Genomic DNA, 14903 nt, shown 5'->3' on the forward strand with positions numbered 1-14903 from the left:
TAAAAATAGGGTTCTGTCACCCTATTAAACTGTGCAAACCTTACATTCACAAGATTTTACCTGTATGATCAATGTCTGTCTGAAAAAAATAATGAAAGCTAGTATTCCTAACCACACTAAAGAGACTTATTTTTTTAAAGGCAAGAACAAATATATCCTCTTTACACTAAAAAGCACTTTTGAAAAAGTATTTTTTCAATAAATGGTACTAAATACGTGTTTTTGCAATTATTTAATTTTTAAAACCATATTTCCCACACATATCCCCAAAAACTCTACTATAAAGTTAATAAAACAAAATAAATAAAAATAAAATAACTCAAATATACCTTCCATTCAAATGTGATCATTAATTCATTTTTTCTACAGATTTTATATGTAAGATAGTTCTTCTTACATGTTTTTACCTACAGTTTTAAGTTTGTTATGTTTACTTTTCATACTGGTCTGGCATTTACTAACATACCATCAGTTGAAAAGAATGGCCTCCAATAATCTGCAATTGCTATCTCCATTACCCGCTACAAGGTGCAGCAGCTGGGTATCAACAAAGGGTATGGTATCCCTTCTTCACCCTGGAAGTCTCCATTATCAAAAATCAAATCTGGGCCACATATTCATCTACATTTTTCATTTTGCACAGCTGTATGTGCACAAGCAGGTCATGTGAAATAACTACATGAATGCTGACCTGCTGTTTGGTGCTTTAAAGTGAAGAAAAGGACTACAGGAGATTCTATTACAGATTCTAGCAAGGTAGGGAAGGAGATCCACCATCTCCAGCATTATTATCATGCAGATGCCCCTTTCCTGCTTCTATATTTCTTCTACTCCTCCTTCACCAACTATAGCACTATTATTACATAATTAGGCAGCACTGTAAAAATATAAATAAACTGTCTATCCAAGATGCTATGGAGTGGATCCATGGTAATATTTGTCAGTGAGGCCGAACACTCTTAAATTTCTACTTTCTATAAGAAAATCTCTTCTAATATTCATTTTTCTAAGAAGCATGTACTTTTGGCCAGGCATGGTGGCTCACGCCTATAATCCCAGCACTCTGGGAGGCTGAGGTGGGTGAATCACCTGAGGCTGGGAGTTCGAGACCAGCCTGGCCAACATGGTGAAACTCCGTCTCTACTAAAAATACAAAAATTAGCTGGGCATGGTGGTGGCACACGCCTGTAATCCCAGCTACTTGGGAGGGCTGAGGCAGGAGAATCACTTGAACCTAGAGTTGGAGGTTGCAGTAAGCCCAGATAGTGCCACTGCACTTCAGCCTGGGCAACAGAGCAAGACTGTCTCAAAAAAAAAAAGAAAAGAAAAGAAAAGAAAAGGGTATACTTTTAACAGTTCTTAATATCACAAAGTATCTCTAAGTCCCAAAATTTTTATTTGGACAGTTTTATTAAATCAGCACAGTCCTAAATACAGCTTTTAAATTAGTATTTTTAAAGTCTGAAAACTCATGGCCCCACAAGGCAACCCCAACTCCTCACCAAAGCAAACCAAGTTTTCACAACACATATGCTACACTCCAGCCAAACTGAAACCAGATTGCACTGTTTGCCTTCCTTTCCCAATTAGAATTCCTATTAGAATACAAGCTCAATAAGCAGAGGGTATGTCTTACCACTGCTTCCCTAGCACCTAGAGGAGTGCACAGCATTCAATATTTGCTGTATAAATAAATGGTACAATGTCTGTGTCATTCACGTTAACACTTAGCATATGTTATCTTGGTGTGTGTGTGTTTTTTTTTTAATTTTATAAAGACAGGGTCTCACTATGTTGCCCAGGCTGGTCTCGAACTCCTGGGTTCAAGTGATCCCCCTGCCTTGGCCTCCCAAAGTGTTGGGATTAAAGGCATGACACCACTGGGCCCAGCCCTTATCTTATTTTTAAGCCTATTGCTTCAACTAGACAATAAGCTCTCTTTAAAGACACAAACCAGGCACGGTGGCTCACACCTATAATCACAGCACTGCGGGAGGCCAAGGCAGGTGGAGCAGTTGAGCCCAGAAGCTCGTGACCAGCCTGGGCAACATGGTGAAACGCTGTCTCTACTAAAATTACAAAAAATAAAATTAGCCAGGTATGGTAGTGTGCACCTGTAGTCCCAGCTACTCAGGAGGCTGAGGTAGAAGGATTGCTTGAGCCCGGGAGGCAGAGGACGCAGTGAGCCAAAATCGCACCACTGCACTCCAGCCTGGACGACAGAGTGAGACCCTGTCTCAAAAATTATTTATAAATAAATAAAATAAAGACAGAAACCATTATTAATATATCCCTGTATTCTTGGTAACTAAAAGAATGTTCTCATAATAGTAACTTAGCAAATGTTAAAGCTCAGACCACCACCACAATGAAAGAATGGAGCAGATAGTCTCTAATTCTCTCAGTATTCTAAGACCATTCAGATATTGAAATAGAAACACAGAGCAATTATATAGGTAGAAAAATAGCCTTTATTTTTTTCCCTCAAAGAAAATATAGAGGTAGGGCAAGAAAAACACATGAAATGTGGCATAAAACACAGTAATTTTCAACATTTAATTAACATAAATAAGTTGGGTTTTAAAAATTTAATTTTAGAACTAGGCAGCTATTTCTTTCATACTAATAATATACTTCAAATATCTCATTCTTTTATTATGCCTGGAAGTCTTCATCATTCTTTGGAAAGTTAAGAAATTGCTAAAAGTTGAACTACAGAACAGAGTGTTCAGACTTCATCCCATTATGAGGATAATAAAAGTAGGACTCTATCAGTGTTCTCAAACTATTAGGTATAAATCATTTTCCAACATAGTAAATCTGACAGGTAAACTACAGTTCTGCAAAGTCTAATAACAAGTTATGTTATTAAGTACAGTGTTTTGAGAATCCTGAGTCAAATAAATGAGAACCAATCTATCAAAAGGGAAGCAATGCTCAACAGAGAAACCTCCCACTTACCCTGTGATTTTATATCCATGGTCACATATGGAAAACTCCCAAGGACAGCCATAACCTCTTCATATTTTTCATCTTCAAGGAAGTGCAGTAGAGTGTGACGATCTGATTCTTTTAAACTCACCAAATCCTGGATAGTTTTAATTTTATACTGAATAAAAAAAAAAAAGAAAATACATAATTCCCTAACTCACAAAGCTTTTCATAAAAAGAAAATTACTCACATGTTAACCACAACAAAATCCAGCAACTTTTAGAAAAGTGTTGATTAATGTGCATTTCAAAGTACAAAATAACGATATGGCATTTCATGACCTTTTTCTCCAAGAAAATTTAAATTAAGAATTTTTAAATTATAAAGTTAATACAGGCTTATTTTTTTAAATTAGAAAAAACAAAGTTGGAGGGAAAAAATAAGAATCTTGACTCAACCAAGAACTTTGTCAATTGATGTCCTCAGTTTATTTTCAATTTTAATAACAAAAACCTTTAATTAGCAATTAATAGGTTTACTATTAACAAACCTTTAATAATAAACGTTTACTTTTACCTAATAAAAGTAAAAATAAACCTCAATAAAGACGCACCTTCAAAGTTTTACTATGCAATATTCTCATTTTTGTTATTCTTAAAATATAGCTATTACTACAGTAATATCCATCTTGGCAAAATGGTTACTTAGGAGCGTGTTCTTTAATTTTCCAGGTGTTTGGTGCTAGTTATTTTTCACTTTCAAAGACACAGATTAGATCATGAGGCATGTAAAATCTCTGCTTTTAGATTCTGAAGTTTTTAATTATGACTTAACATACAATCAAATTTATAAGGGGAACATGAGTACTTAAAAGGACAGAGAACTCTGATACTAATTTCCAACATGCATTTATTAATTCTACATTAATATACTATCAAATCCAATGTCTATTCTCTGCTAGTTTTATCTATCATATACAAAATAATGTTTAAAATCTCCTACTAGAATTGTAACTTCAGTTTCTTATATTTCCTCAAGTTTTTCATTTACACAAATTTTTGTTATATCTTAAGATTCATTATCATGTTTATACTATAGATTATATATTCTAAATAAGAACTGTCTTTATTTGATTTATTAAATGTTTTTGTTGTTCATGCTTAACCAGTAAACAATTGCCCAACCTTAAGCCAAGAATAAAATGACTGTAAAGTAGACAGTACATTTATTTTTGGTAACATAATATAAGGAACTAACTGTTGACTTTTTAAATGCAACAACCCCCAAAATAATAAAACTACTTACAGTAGTAAAATACTATAAAACACAGCTACCTAGTCAAGAAAATGTTAACAGAACCACCTGAGAGAAAGTTTTAGAGTATTTAAGACATTCTAAATCTAAAAAATGCATAGTAACCATTTCCAGAAAACTTTTATTCATGTTACCTTTAAGTGACAGGACAAACTGCTGAAAACTGACTTTAAAGTAGCAAAGAATTACCTTCTTATGATTAGAAACCCGTCTAAGATTGTCCTCTTCAATATGAGGGAGCTGCAGAAGGGGAGACTTAAATTGCTGAAGTCCCTGAACGGCCATCTGAGAAAGCTTCATGCAGTTTTCTAGGGATGCCAAAGTTGGAGCACGAAACTCCCTTTCTTAGAAAGAACAGGAAAAAAAGAAACAGGGCTGGACTTTTTACATGTTCAGGAGTATACAATTCATCACAAAAACAAAATTCACACTAAATCCATAACACCTCAAATTTGAGGATCATAGTAAGATTTTCCTTTAAAAGTTACCAGAGAAGACACTAAAAATATACAAACTCGATCTAATGAACATTTTCCAGCAACAACCATTGATTTAAAAGAAAAATTATTTGCCTCACCTCAAATAATAGTAAATTATCAGACATTATCAGTATCACCAACATATGACACCATGACAAGAACCAACATCACCCGTAACAACAAACCATAACCACTATCCTTTTTTAAGGGCATTCCTTTCCATTACTGACCAGAAATTCCCTCATTCTTTTCCTTCCATACCAAAAAAAAAAAAATGGCTAGGTGCCTGTAGGCATGTGGCTCATGACTGTAATCCCAGGGCTTTGGGAAGCTGAAGTGGGAGGATTGCTTAAAGCCAGGAGTTGGAAACCAGACCAGTCTGGGCGACAAAGTGAGATCCCACCTCTACACAAAATGTAAAGTTAGCTCCGTGCTGTGGTATGCACCTGTAGTTCCAGCTACTCGGAGAGCTAAGGTAGAAGGACTGCTTGAGCCCAGGAGTTTGAGGCTGCAGTGAGCTATGATTACCCTACTGGACTCCAGCCCTGGTAGATGCTGTCTATAATTAATTAATAAAAATTACATGACATATGAATCACTTTTATATCAGTTAAAGATTTCAAATTCACTGTTAGAAAAAATGACCTAACTCAAAAATTATTCAAAGAAAGAGAAATTTTAAATCTTTGCAAACAATTGAACAATAAAATAATTAAATTATCATGCCTGTAATCACAGCACTTTGGGAGGCTGAGGCAGGTGGATCACAAGGTCAGGAGTTTGAGACCAGCCTGACCAACCTGATGAAACCCCGTCTCTACTAAAAATACAAAAATTAGCCGGGCGTGGTGGCATGCGCCTGTAATGCCAGCTACTCAGGAGGCTGAGGCAGGAGAATCACTTGACCCTGGGAGGCGGAGGTTGCAGTGAGCCAAGATCGCGCCACTGCACTCCAGCCTAGGCGACAGAGTGAGACTCTGTCTCCAAAAAAAAAAAAAACAAGAATTAAAATCAAAAACACAGTGACCAGGGCTTTGGGAGGCTGAGGCAGGTGGATCACGAGGTCAGGAGATGGAGACCATCCTGGCCAACATGGTAAAACCCTGTCTCTACCAAAAATACAAAAATTAGCCAGGTGTGGTGGTACGCGCCTGTAATCCCAGCTGCTCAGGAGGCTGAGGCAGGAGAATCGCTTGAACCCAGGAGGCAGAGGTTGCAGAGAGCCAAGATTTTGTCACTGCACTCCAGCCTGGGCGACAAAGCAAGACTCCATCTCAAAAAAAAAAAAGAACAAAAAAAACCCAGTGAGCTGTGATATAGACTTTAAATAATAGAAAATATAGGAAAGAAATATGAAAAGACATGAGTAAAATTGAAGAAGCTCACTGAACTGGCCGACAGAAGTCTGAGTACCCATAAATCCTAAAATATGAAGTACAATCTGCATATGCTTGCAAGAAAAAGTATAACATAATTAACTATATTTCCTCCTCACCTTCACGGTTCCGGGCCATTACTATTAGTTGGCAGATTACATTAACCATTTCTTGAAGTAGGGCAGGACACTTTTTTAGCATGAATTGCTGATCTGCAAAACAATAAAAAACCTGAAACAGATCATTTTAATTTTACAGTTAAAGCATCTTTATCACTGTGGCCCAAAACTAATATTAAAGTTATGCCACAAATATTTCACATGATCTCAGAATTTTACAGATTGAATGGAAGAGTTTCTCCTCAGTATCACTATGTCAAAAATCAGCCATAAAACCCTAGCTCAGATTAGACGTTTCAAAGACAAATTTTTAATATCATAATGTTAGGCTTAATAAACCAACTCCCAGCTGGGCATGGTGGCTCACGCCTATAATCCCAGCACTTTGGGAGGCTGAGGCAGGCAGATCAACTAAATATGTCAAAATAAATATGTCAGCTAAATACAGGGGGAGAGATAAGAGACGTAGAAGAGAAGAAGAGGGCAACTTACAGAAAGAGAAAGACTCTTTCATTTATACTGCATATAATAGTTAACTATTAAGACCACATTAACCTATGGATTTGGTACTCAACAATGATTTGTTTCCTGCTTCTTACAGGTAAGTAAAAATGGAGATGCTTATGTATCTGTACAGAACATTAGCAACAGAATTACTAGTTAATTGAGTATTTCAAAGCAACTCCAATGATATTGCCTAAATAGTGCTCCTTCATTCCACCATAAGCATCCTGTCCTATCACCAATTACTAAGCGTCACATGGCCTTGTTTTCGGAAGCATTTAACTGCATTACTGCCTTAAAGGAGGTGGGGGATGGTAGGATATCATTCAAAAAGAACATTTATTTCCTAGAGGTAGTAACTGTCTTTTAAAACTTTAACTGAAATAATGTCGGTGAAAAAGAGATAATTAATGACATCCCTGGAAACACTGTTGCCTCCATCAACTACTTTTCTTTTAAGCAGAATACATGGCTTCAAGTACTTATGAAGCTTTAAATAACTATAAAACAGACATTATTGGTAACCACTGTCGGAGGAAGCTTGTAGATGGGGAGGTGAGAGGTGTTGGTTGTTGTGAAATCCATTTTGCTCCCTCCAAAAACTTACAAAGTCCTTTAAAAAAATTATTAGGAACTTTTGTATGATCTGCAATTAACTAAACATTTCTTATACAGAGCATTCTCTCACCTTGAAACACTAAATTTTAACACTTGCCAAAACGTCTGACTTACTTAGATCTTCAAACCATTTGTGAAGTAATTATGTAGCATATACATTTCTTTTTTAAAAAGTCCTTGAGCAATTATTTGGCCAAAAAAGAACAGCAACAAAACACACCGCACCACCATGCTATGGTTTGGGTCTGTGTCCCCACCCAAATCTCATGTTGAATGGTAATCCCCAATGCTGGAGGTGGGGCCTGGTGGAAGGTGATTGGATCAGGGGGGTGGAGTTCTCCCTTTGGTGCTGTTCTCGAGATACACTTCTCACAAGACCTGGTTGTTTAAAAACGTGTGGCATCTCCCCCATCTCTCTCTTCCTCCTGCTCTGGCCATGTGAAGACACTTGCTCTGCCTTTGCCTGCTCTGGCTTTGCCTTCTGCCATGAATAAAAGTTTCCTGAGGCCTCCCCAGCCATGCTTCCTGTACAGCCATCAGAACAATGAGCCAATTAAACCTCTTTTGTTTATATATTACCCAGCCTCAGGTATTTCTTTAGAGCAATGCGAGAACAAACTAATACACACCATTAAGTCTAATTAATTCTGCTGCTTTCATCCCACTAAACCTCTGTAGATACCGGAATCACAAATACCTTCTTCAAGGGTCTCAGGAATTTTCATTCTAGCAAGATGAGACAGTAAAAGAACTCTGGCCTTCAGGCTATATGGGCAGGTAAGTGGAGGCTCATTCTTCTTTAAATTAATGCTGCCAATTTCTCTGATTAGCTAGAATAAATAAAATAATTATTCAAAAACACGCTTTTTTTAAAAAAAGTATTCACTTTAATACTTAACTGCTCATCGGGGGATTTGGGAAATTAGCCTAACCTGTGGTATTAGAATATTATCCGTTGGTCTGCTTGTGGCATCTTTATTATACTGAGGATCAAATTCAGAAGCTCCAGCCAAAACCATGATAAGACCTAACAAAACAAAAGAAATATGAAGGTAAATAAATATGCTCATTCATTAATTCCCCCTCCTGAGATACTTAATTCACTTGAAAGTGAAGCACTTTTCTAAACATGCACAATGCTAAAAATTATCTGAACTCCACTGACAAGTATTTATTTCTTCCATAAAAAAAGTAACATCTCGCTTTTTAAAATGTACACAGTATCAACCACCACAAGTGAACAGAAGTATAGATCAAATAAAGCACACCAAAGCAACTGGAGGCATTAAAATCACTGAAAGTTCCACAGAAACTTTCTATAGAACATCAGTATTCTGTGTGGTATTAATAATTCACGTGAAAAAAGGGGGCCCTATGATTAAATAAAGCTGAAAATAATGTAAACAAGAGTTAAAGGTTTCTTTACTACATGACTTCTCAAGGCCTTTTGTAAACCTAATATGCATTATAATTTTCCAAAAAAATTTTATTATGGAACCCAAGAGGATTTTGTGGAAATACACATGATTAAAACCCTCAGGCCAGTGGTGGCTCACGCCTGTAATCCCAGCACTTTGGGAGGCTAAGGCAGGCAAATCACAAGATCAGGAATTTGAGACCAGCCAGTTTGAGACCAAGCTGGCCAAAATGGTGAAACCCCATCTCTACTAAAAATACAAAAATTAGCCAGGCATAGTGGTGCACGCCTGTAATCCCAGCTACTCGGGAGGCTGAGGCAGGAGAATTGCTTGCACCCAGGAGGCAGACGTTGTGGTGAGCTGAGATTGTGCCATTGTACTCTAGCCTGGGAGATGAGAGAAACTTTGCCTCAGAGAAAAAAAAATCCATGTAATGTACTCACAAAAGGCAGGATAGTATAGAAGTTAAGTGCACAGACCTTGGTATTTTGTCACTTCCTAGCTAAATGACCTAGGACAATATTCTTCATATCTGTGTATCTCAGCTTCTTCATATGTGCCTGACACACAGCAAGCACAGTACTTGTGTGAGCTATTACTATTACTACCCTCAAATGTTTACTTAATAACAACTGTTCCTAAAACAGCTAAAATAACCTAGAATGTGTAAAGAAATCCACCAGCTAAACAATGCTTCTCTGACAAAGCTGTGTAAGGATACCACCCTCAGAAAAGAAACAGAAATCAAAATGATTGAGGCAAAAAGCACACTTAAAATTATAAACATGAAACATTTTCATAAGGGAGTAAGTTTCTGTATTAACATTTCAATCCAGCTTTAGGAAGAGTAATATTTTCGATAAGGCAAAGTAGTATTAACTCATTCAGAAATGTAAAATCTGTTCACACACAGTCATATATGACCATGAGAAGTCTCTCTCATTACTAAGAAAATTAGTAAAATTGCCAAATCCAAAATGCAGAAAAGTCCATTTTGGTCCCGGAGACACAATTCAAAACTTACATTCTTTTATTTTATTTTTTTTTAAAGAGGGATGGAGGAGCAGCTATGATTTTTGCAGAGCCATCATTCTGAAAGGTAACACTCTATCTCCCAAGGATAAACTGCAAAGTTTGCTTTATATAATCAAAGAAAGTGAAAATAGTATTTTTTTTCTTAAATTTTTAAATAAGAACTGGGAATGAAATACTCTAGCACTAGTTTTCTTTCAACACACCTAAGACTTTTTATTTTTACTACAATTAATACACTATAACATAATGGTTTAAGGCTCAAGAACCAGACTGCCTGGGTTCAATCCTGGATATCACTTACTGTGTATCCTTGAGAGTGTTACTTTTCGGTGCCTCAGTTTCCTCATCTATAAGATGTACTGTAAAACAGCACTCACTTACGAGAACACAGCAAAAATTAAATGAGTCAAGACACATACAGTAACTAGCAGTGTCTGGCATACAACAAATAATAAATGTTAGCTAGAATTACAAAATTTGCACGCATAAGGATTATGGTAAAATTTCTGATGAAATATATGAGTAAATGTGAATAATGAAAATATAAATTAAGAAATGTGACAAAGGGTGCTGGCATTTTTCTCTAGCTTTAATTATATAAATTAACTATTTATAAAACTGTACAATAGAATCTCAACAGTATAGAGTTAAGGAATATATATCAACCCCACATAAGTCACAAAACAATGTGATTAATAGCAAAGTTACTTAAAGTTTACTTACGTTTCATATCCATATTTCGGGTTTTATAAACAAAGTATGTATAAATCTGTGTTGTGCGTATTAGAATCTGGTCTCCACTATAGCGTATTGAGCGATACCACCAAGAGCCCTAAAACACAAAAAAAATTAAACAAGAAAGAAAGTATAAAAACTACGATAGGCTGGGCGAGATGGCTCATTCCTGTAATCCCAGCACTTTGGGAGGCTGAGGTGAGAGGACTGCTTGAGCCCAGGAGTTTGAGACCAGCCTGGGCAACATAGTGAGACCCTGTCTCTACAAAAGAAAAAGAAAAATGCAAACATTAGCTGGGCATGGTGGCACATGCCTCTAGTCCCAGCTGCTCAGGAAGCTGAGGTGGGAAGATTGCTAGAGTCCAGGAGGTCAGGGCTGCAGTAGCCATGATCATACTACTGCACTCCATCCTAGGTGACAGAGGGAGACTCTGTCTCAAAAAAAAAAAAAAAGCAAAACAAAACCCTGATAAATGTTAAGTTTGAGGCAGAATATGTTTATGGTCAAATCTTCTAAATATTCATAAAACAATAAAAATACCTGAGTCTTACAACAAGGACCTCTTTCTTGCATATTTCAAGTGATTTCTTTAGCAAATATTTATACTGTCTGAAGCCTAAACACCAACCTAAGTCACTGCATATATATAATCAAAACATTTACCATTTTGGATAGAAATACCTTAAAGACCAAAAAGGGATAAAACTACCCACTGCTATAAGCACCAAGCTGGTTCTTGACACACAGCATGTCTTCAATAAATACTTGATAAACAAATGTAGGCATAATTTTACAAGTTGACATGACACTTTCATTCATATTACTTAATATGATTGGATTCTTGCAACAATCCTTTGAAGAAAGCAAAACAAACAACTTAATTATTAGACTCACTATGTGACTAAAAGGAACTCCAGGATCAGAAAGGACACAAGTCACAAAAGTAACAAATGGTGAATATCAAATTGTATGGTATCTCCGTATTATAGTATTATACAGCTGTTTTAAAAAATGAGGCTTTTCTATATGTTGCATCCCCATTATATTAAGCAAAAAAACAGAATAATGCACACATACAGTAAAATCTCATTAAAGGTTTTTTTTAAAATGAATGTGTGTACATAAATTCATAGAAAAAGATTTTAAAGAAAAAACACCCAACTTCCCAATGATTCCTAAATAAATGAAGTTGAGGGTGGTAGTGCGGGAAGACTTTCATTTGAAACTTTAAATATATCTGTGTCAGCCAGGCATGGTGGTTCACACCTGTAAGCCTAGTACTTTGAGAGGCCGAGGCAGGATAATCGTTTGAGCCCAGGAGTTTAAGACCAGCCTGGGCAACGTGGCAAGACCCCATCTCTACAAAAAAATTTAAAAATTAGCAGGGCATGGTGGTACACACTTGTGGTCTTAGCTACTTGGGAGGCTGAGGTGGGAGGATTTGCTTGAACCCAGGAGGTAGAGGCTGCAGAGAGCCATGTTTGCACCACCTTACTATACAGCAAGACCTTGTCTCAAAAATAAATAAATAACAAAAATAAAATTAAAATGGACAGTTTCCCTGTATTTAAAACATATATATACATATATGCATGTCATACATATATACATATATGCATGTCATACATATACACGTGTCATACACATGTATGTCATACACACACGTGTCATACATATATGCACGTGTCATGCATATATACACATGTCATACATTTATACACATCTGTCATGCATATGTACACATATACATATGTCATACATATATACATACACACATATGTATACATATGTATATATGTATCTGTGTTAACTCAGTTGTAACTTTTGTGATTTTTGTTTTTTTCTTTGAGACAGAGTCTCGCTCTGTCACCCAGGCTGGAGTGTAGTGGCACAATCTCGGCTCATTGCAACCTCTGCCTCCTGGGTTCAAACCAGCATGTCTGACTAATTTTGTATTTTTAGTAAAGACAGGGTTTCACCATGTTGGTCTCAAACTCCTGCCCTAAATTGATCTGCCCACCTCAGCCTCCCAATGTGCTGGGATTACAGGAGTGAGCCACCATGCCCGGTCAGTTGTGGGTAATTTTTGAATTGGGAGGATATACACATCATGCTCAAGTAATGTCACATTTAGAAGACCATTAAAAGTATAGTTATATAATTTTTTTTTCAGTTGGGGTCTCACTCTGTGGCCCAGGCTGGAGTGCAGAGGTGGGGTCATGGCTCACCGCAACCTCAAACACCTAGGCTCAAGCGATCCTCCCACCTCACCTTCAGTGGCAAGACTCTTAAATTCAAGGATCAATGGGTTATATTCTAACATACATTTAAAATGTTATAGGGAGACTCCAAAACATGTCAATCTCCTTTCCAAAAAAAACATTAACTTAAAAAGCTAAAACTTACCACAACAACTGGAAGGATAACCATAAATGCCAATCCATATACAAGTAAAACCTAAAATTGAAGAGAAAAAGAATTATGGCCTTCGTCAGGTAAATTAAAACAACATCCATGAATTTATTTTGAGGCTTACAATGGGGGAGCCACTATTAAAAGGATTCCTCATGTATTATCTTGTTTAATCCTTATTCTCAAACTCCAAGAGGAAGGTACCATTATTACCCTCCTTTTGTAGGTAGAAAACCTGCAGTACACATGGGTTACATAACTTGTCCTAGGACACAGCTAGCAAATTGCACAGCCAGGATTTGAACCCAAGTAGTTCAGCTCTAGAGCCTATGTTCATATCCACTATAATAAATTACCTTTTAATTTTTTATTTACTGACACAATACAGATTAACACCAGCAAAACAGTTTTGTAAATTACATTTCTCTTCCAGTCAGGCAGGTATTTATATATCCACAACCTCTCAGTAGTTAGTGCTCTGGGAACAAATGAGATAAGAAGCCCCTGGCCAAAGGTTCCTTTAGCTAAATATCAAGGAGTCACTTCATAATGCTGACTAGCAATTTTTACCTACTGATTTTTCTCCTATTACTTGATCCTAAATCTGGTAGTAACTTATTCCTTCTCGACTATTCCTACTAACCAGAAGCATGACAAACAAGCTTATGCAGCAACTGTATACCCCCTCAAGGTAACCAATTTTAATCTGCCAGATAATAACTTAATAGCCATTTTCAAAACAAATTACAGACTATGTGGATTTTGTTTTTATTGCCTCAAAGACAGCCTTTAGACAATTATTTTCAAGAAAGTTGAAGTAGGAATGTATCCCTGAGTAAGATAATTCTTGACATTTTAGGGTTGCAGTGATTGAAGTCTGATATCCTACCTCCTCCTGAAATACCATATGGAATATATACAATTCAATTTATTGTAAATTAAAATTAGGCATAGTGCTCATGCTTGTAATCCCAACATGGTGGGAGGCTGAGGCAGGCAGATAACTTGAGGTCAGGAGTTTGAGAGTTCGAGACCAGCCTGGCCAGCATGGCAAAACCCCATCTCTACTAAAAATGCAAAAATTAGCCAGGCATGGTGGTGGGTACCTGTAATCCCAGCTACTCAGCGGGGGCTGAGGCAGGAGAATCGCTTGAACCCAGGAGGCAGAGGTTGCAGTGAGCCGAGATCACGCCACTGCTCTCCTGCCTGGGCAATAGAGCAAGACTCTGTCTCAAATGAATGAATGAATGAATGGCACACCAGTATTTTCTTTGTAATAGTTCTTCTTGTATTACCAAGACAGATTGTACATAACAAAAATTTTGTCTAATACATCATAATGTATCTTATTTAAATGCACTCACCAGAATTGAGTTTTTCTGGTCAACTATCCAAGCTGGCAGGGCAATTCCAAAGCTTGTGGCTGAAATAGAAAAAATATCAGTTTCTGAAGAATCTCTACTTTCAGTTTTAATAAATACATTAAATATATTTGGGATCTATAATATATCCCAGAACTCTCCCCCACAACACAAAAACAAACTTTGAGAAAGATTATCTTATTAGTAGGCCCCCATTACACAAAAGTTCAGGGATATAGTTTATATCTGAAACTTCAAATTTTTCAAGGAAAAAGAAACCCTGTAAGTACAAATTCCTTCTCTCAAGAAAATATAAATTATTTTATATGTCCTGAGTTTACATAAACACTATGAACACATGAGAAAATGTGAAGTCTGTAAAGAAAAATAAGATTTTTTCCTCCAAATTTTTATCAACTAGTAATTGGAAATGATAGTGATTATTCTTCTCTATGGATCAACTTAAATTATATCTTTCAAACTAGTCTTTAGAAAGAAAAATAAAGCAAAAATTAATGAGAGCTCAATTTATCTATGTTAAACTCCATGTGAGTATAAGTTTAGTAAGAAAATAATATTATTCCTTTAATCTGGTTAAC

The 14903-nt window shown here is 36.4% G+C and overlaps 1 protein-coding gene across 3 annotated transcripts in view; it reads right to left on the bottom strand.

Annotated features, from left to right (window-relative positions):
• The window catches only part of SEC63 (SEC63 protein translocation regulator), a 90453-nt gene that overhangs the window by 30653 nt on the left and 44897 nt on the right, over positions 1-14903 (bottom strand). For all 3 annotated transcript variants that reach the window (XM_047418131.1, NM_007214.5, XM_047418130.1), the window contains 8 exons: positions 14308-14366; positions 12938-12988; positions 10519-10627; positions 8275-8369; positions 8040-8172; positions 6221-6313; positions 4436-4590; positions 2962-3109 (listed from right to left, as the gene is read on the bottom strand). In XM_047418131.1, coding sequence (XP_047274087.1) covers positions 2962-3109; positions 4436-4590; positions 6221-6313; positions 8040-8172; positions 8275-8369; positions 10519-10627; positions 12938-12988; positions 14308-14366 — 843 coding nt within the window. The remainder of the gene's footprint in view (positions 1-2961; positions 3110-4435; positions 4591-6220; positions 6314-8039; positions 8173-8274; positions 8370-10518; positions 10628-12937; positions 12989-14307; positions 14367-14903) is intronic.

Source organism: Homo sapiens, chromosome 6, assembly GCF_000001405.40.
Source record: "Homo sapiens chromosome 6, GRCh38.p14 Primary Assembly".
NCBI lineage: Eukaryota > Metazoa > Chordata > Mammalia > Primates > Hominidae > Homo > Homo sapiens.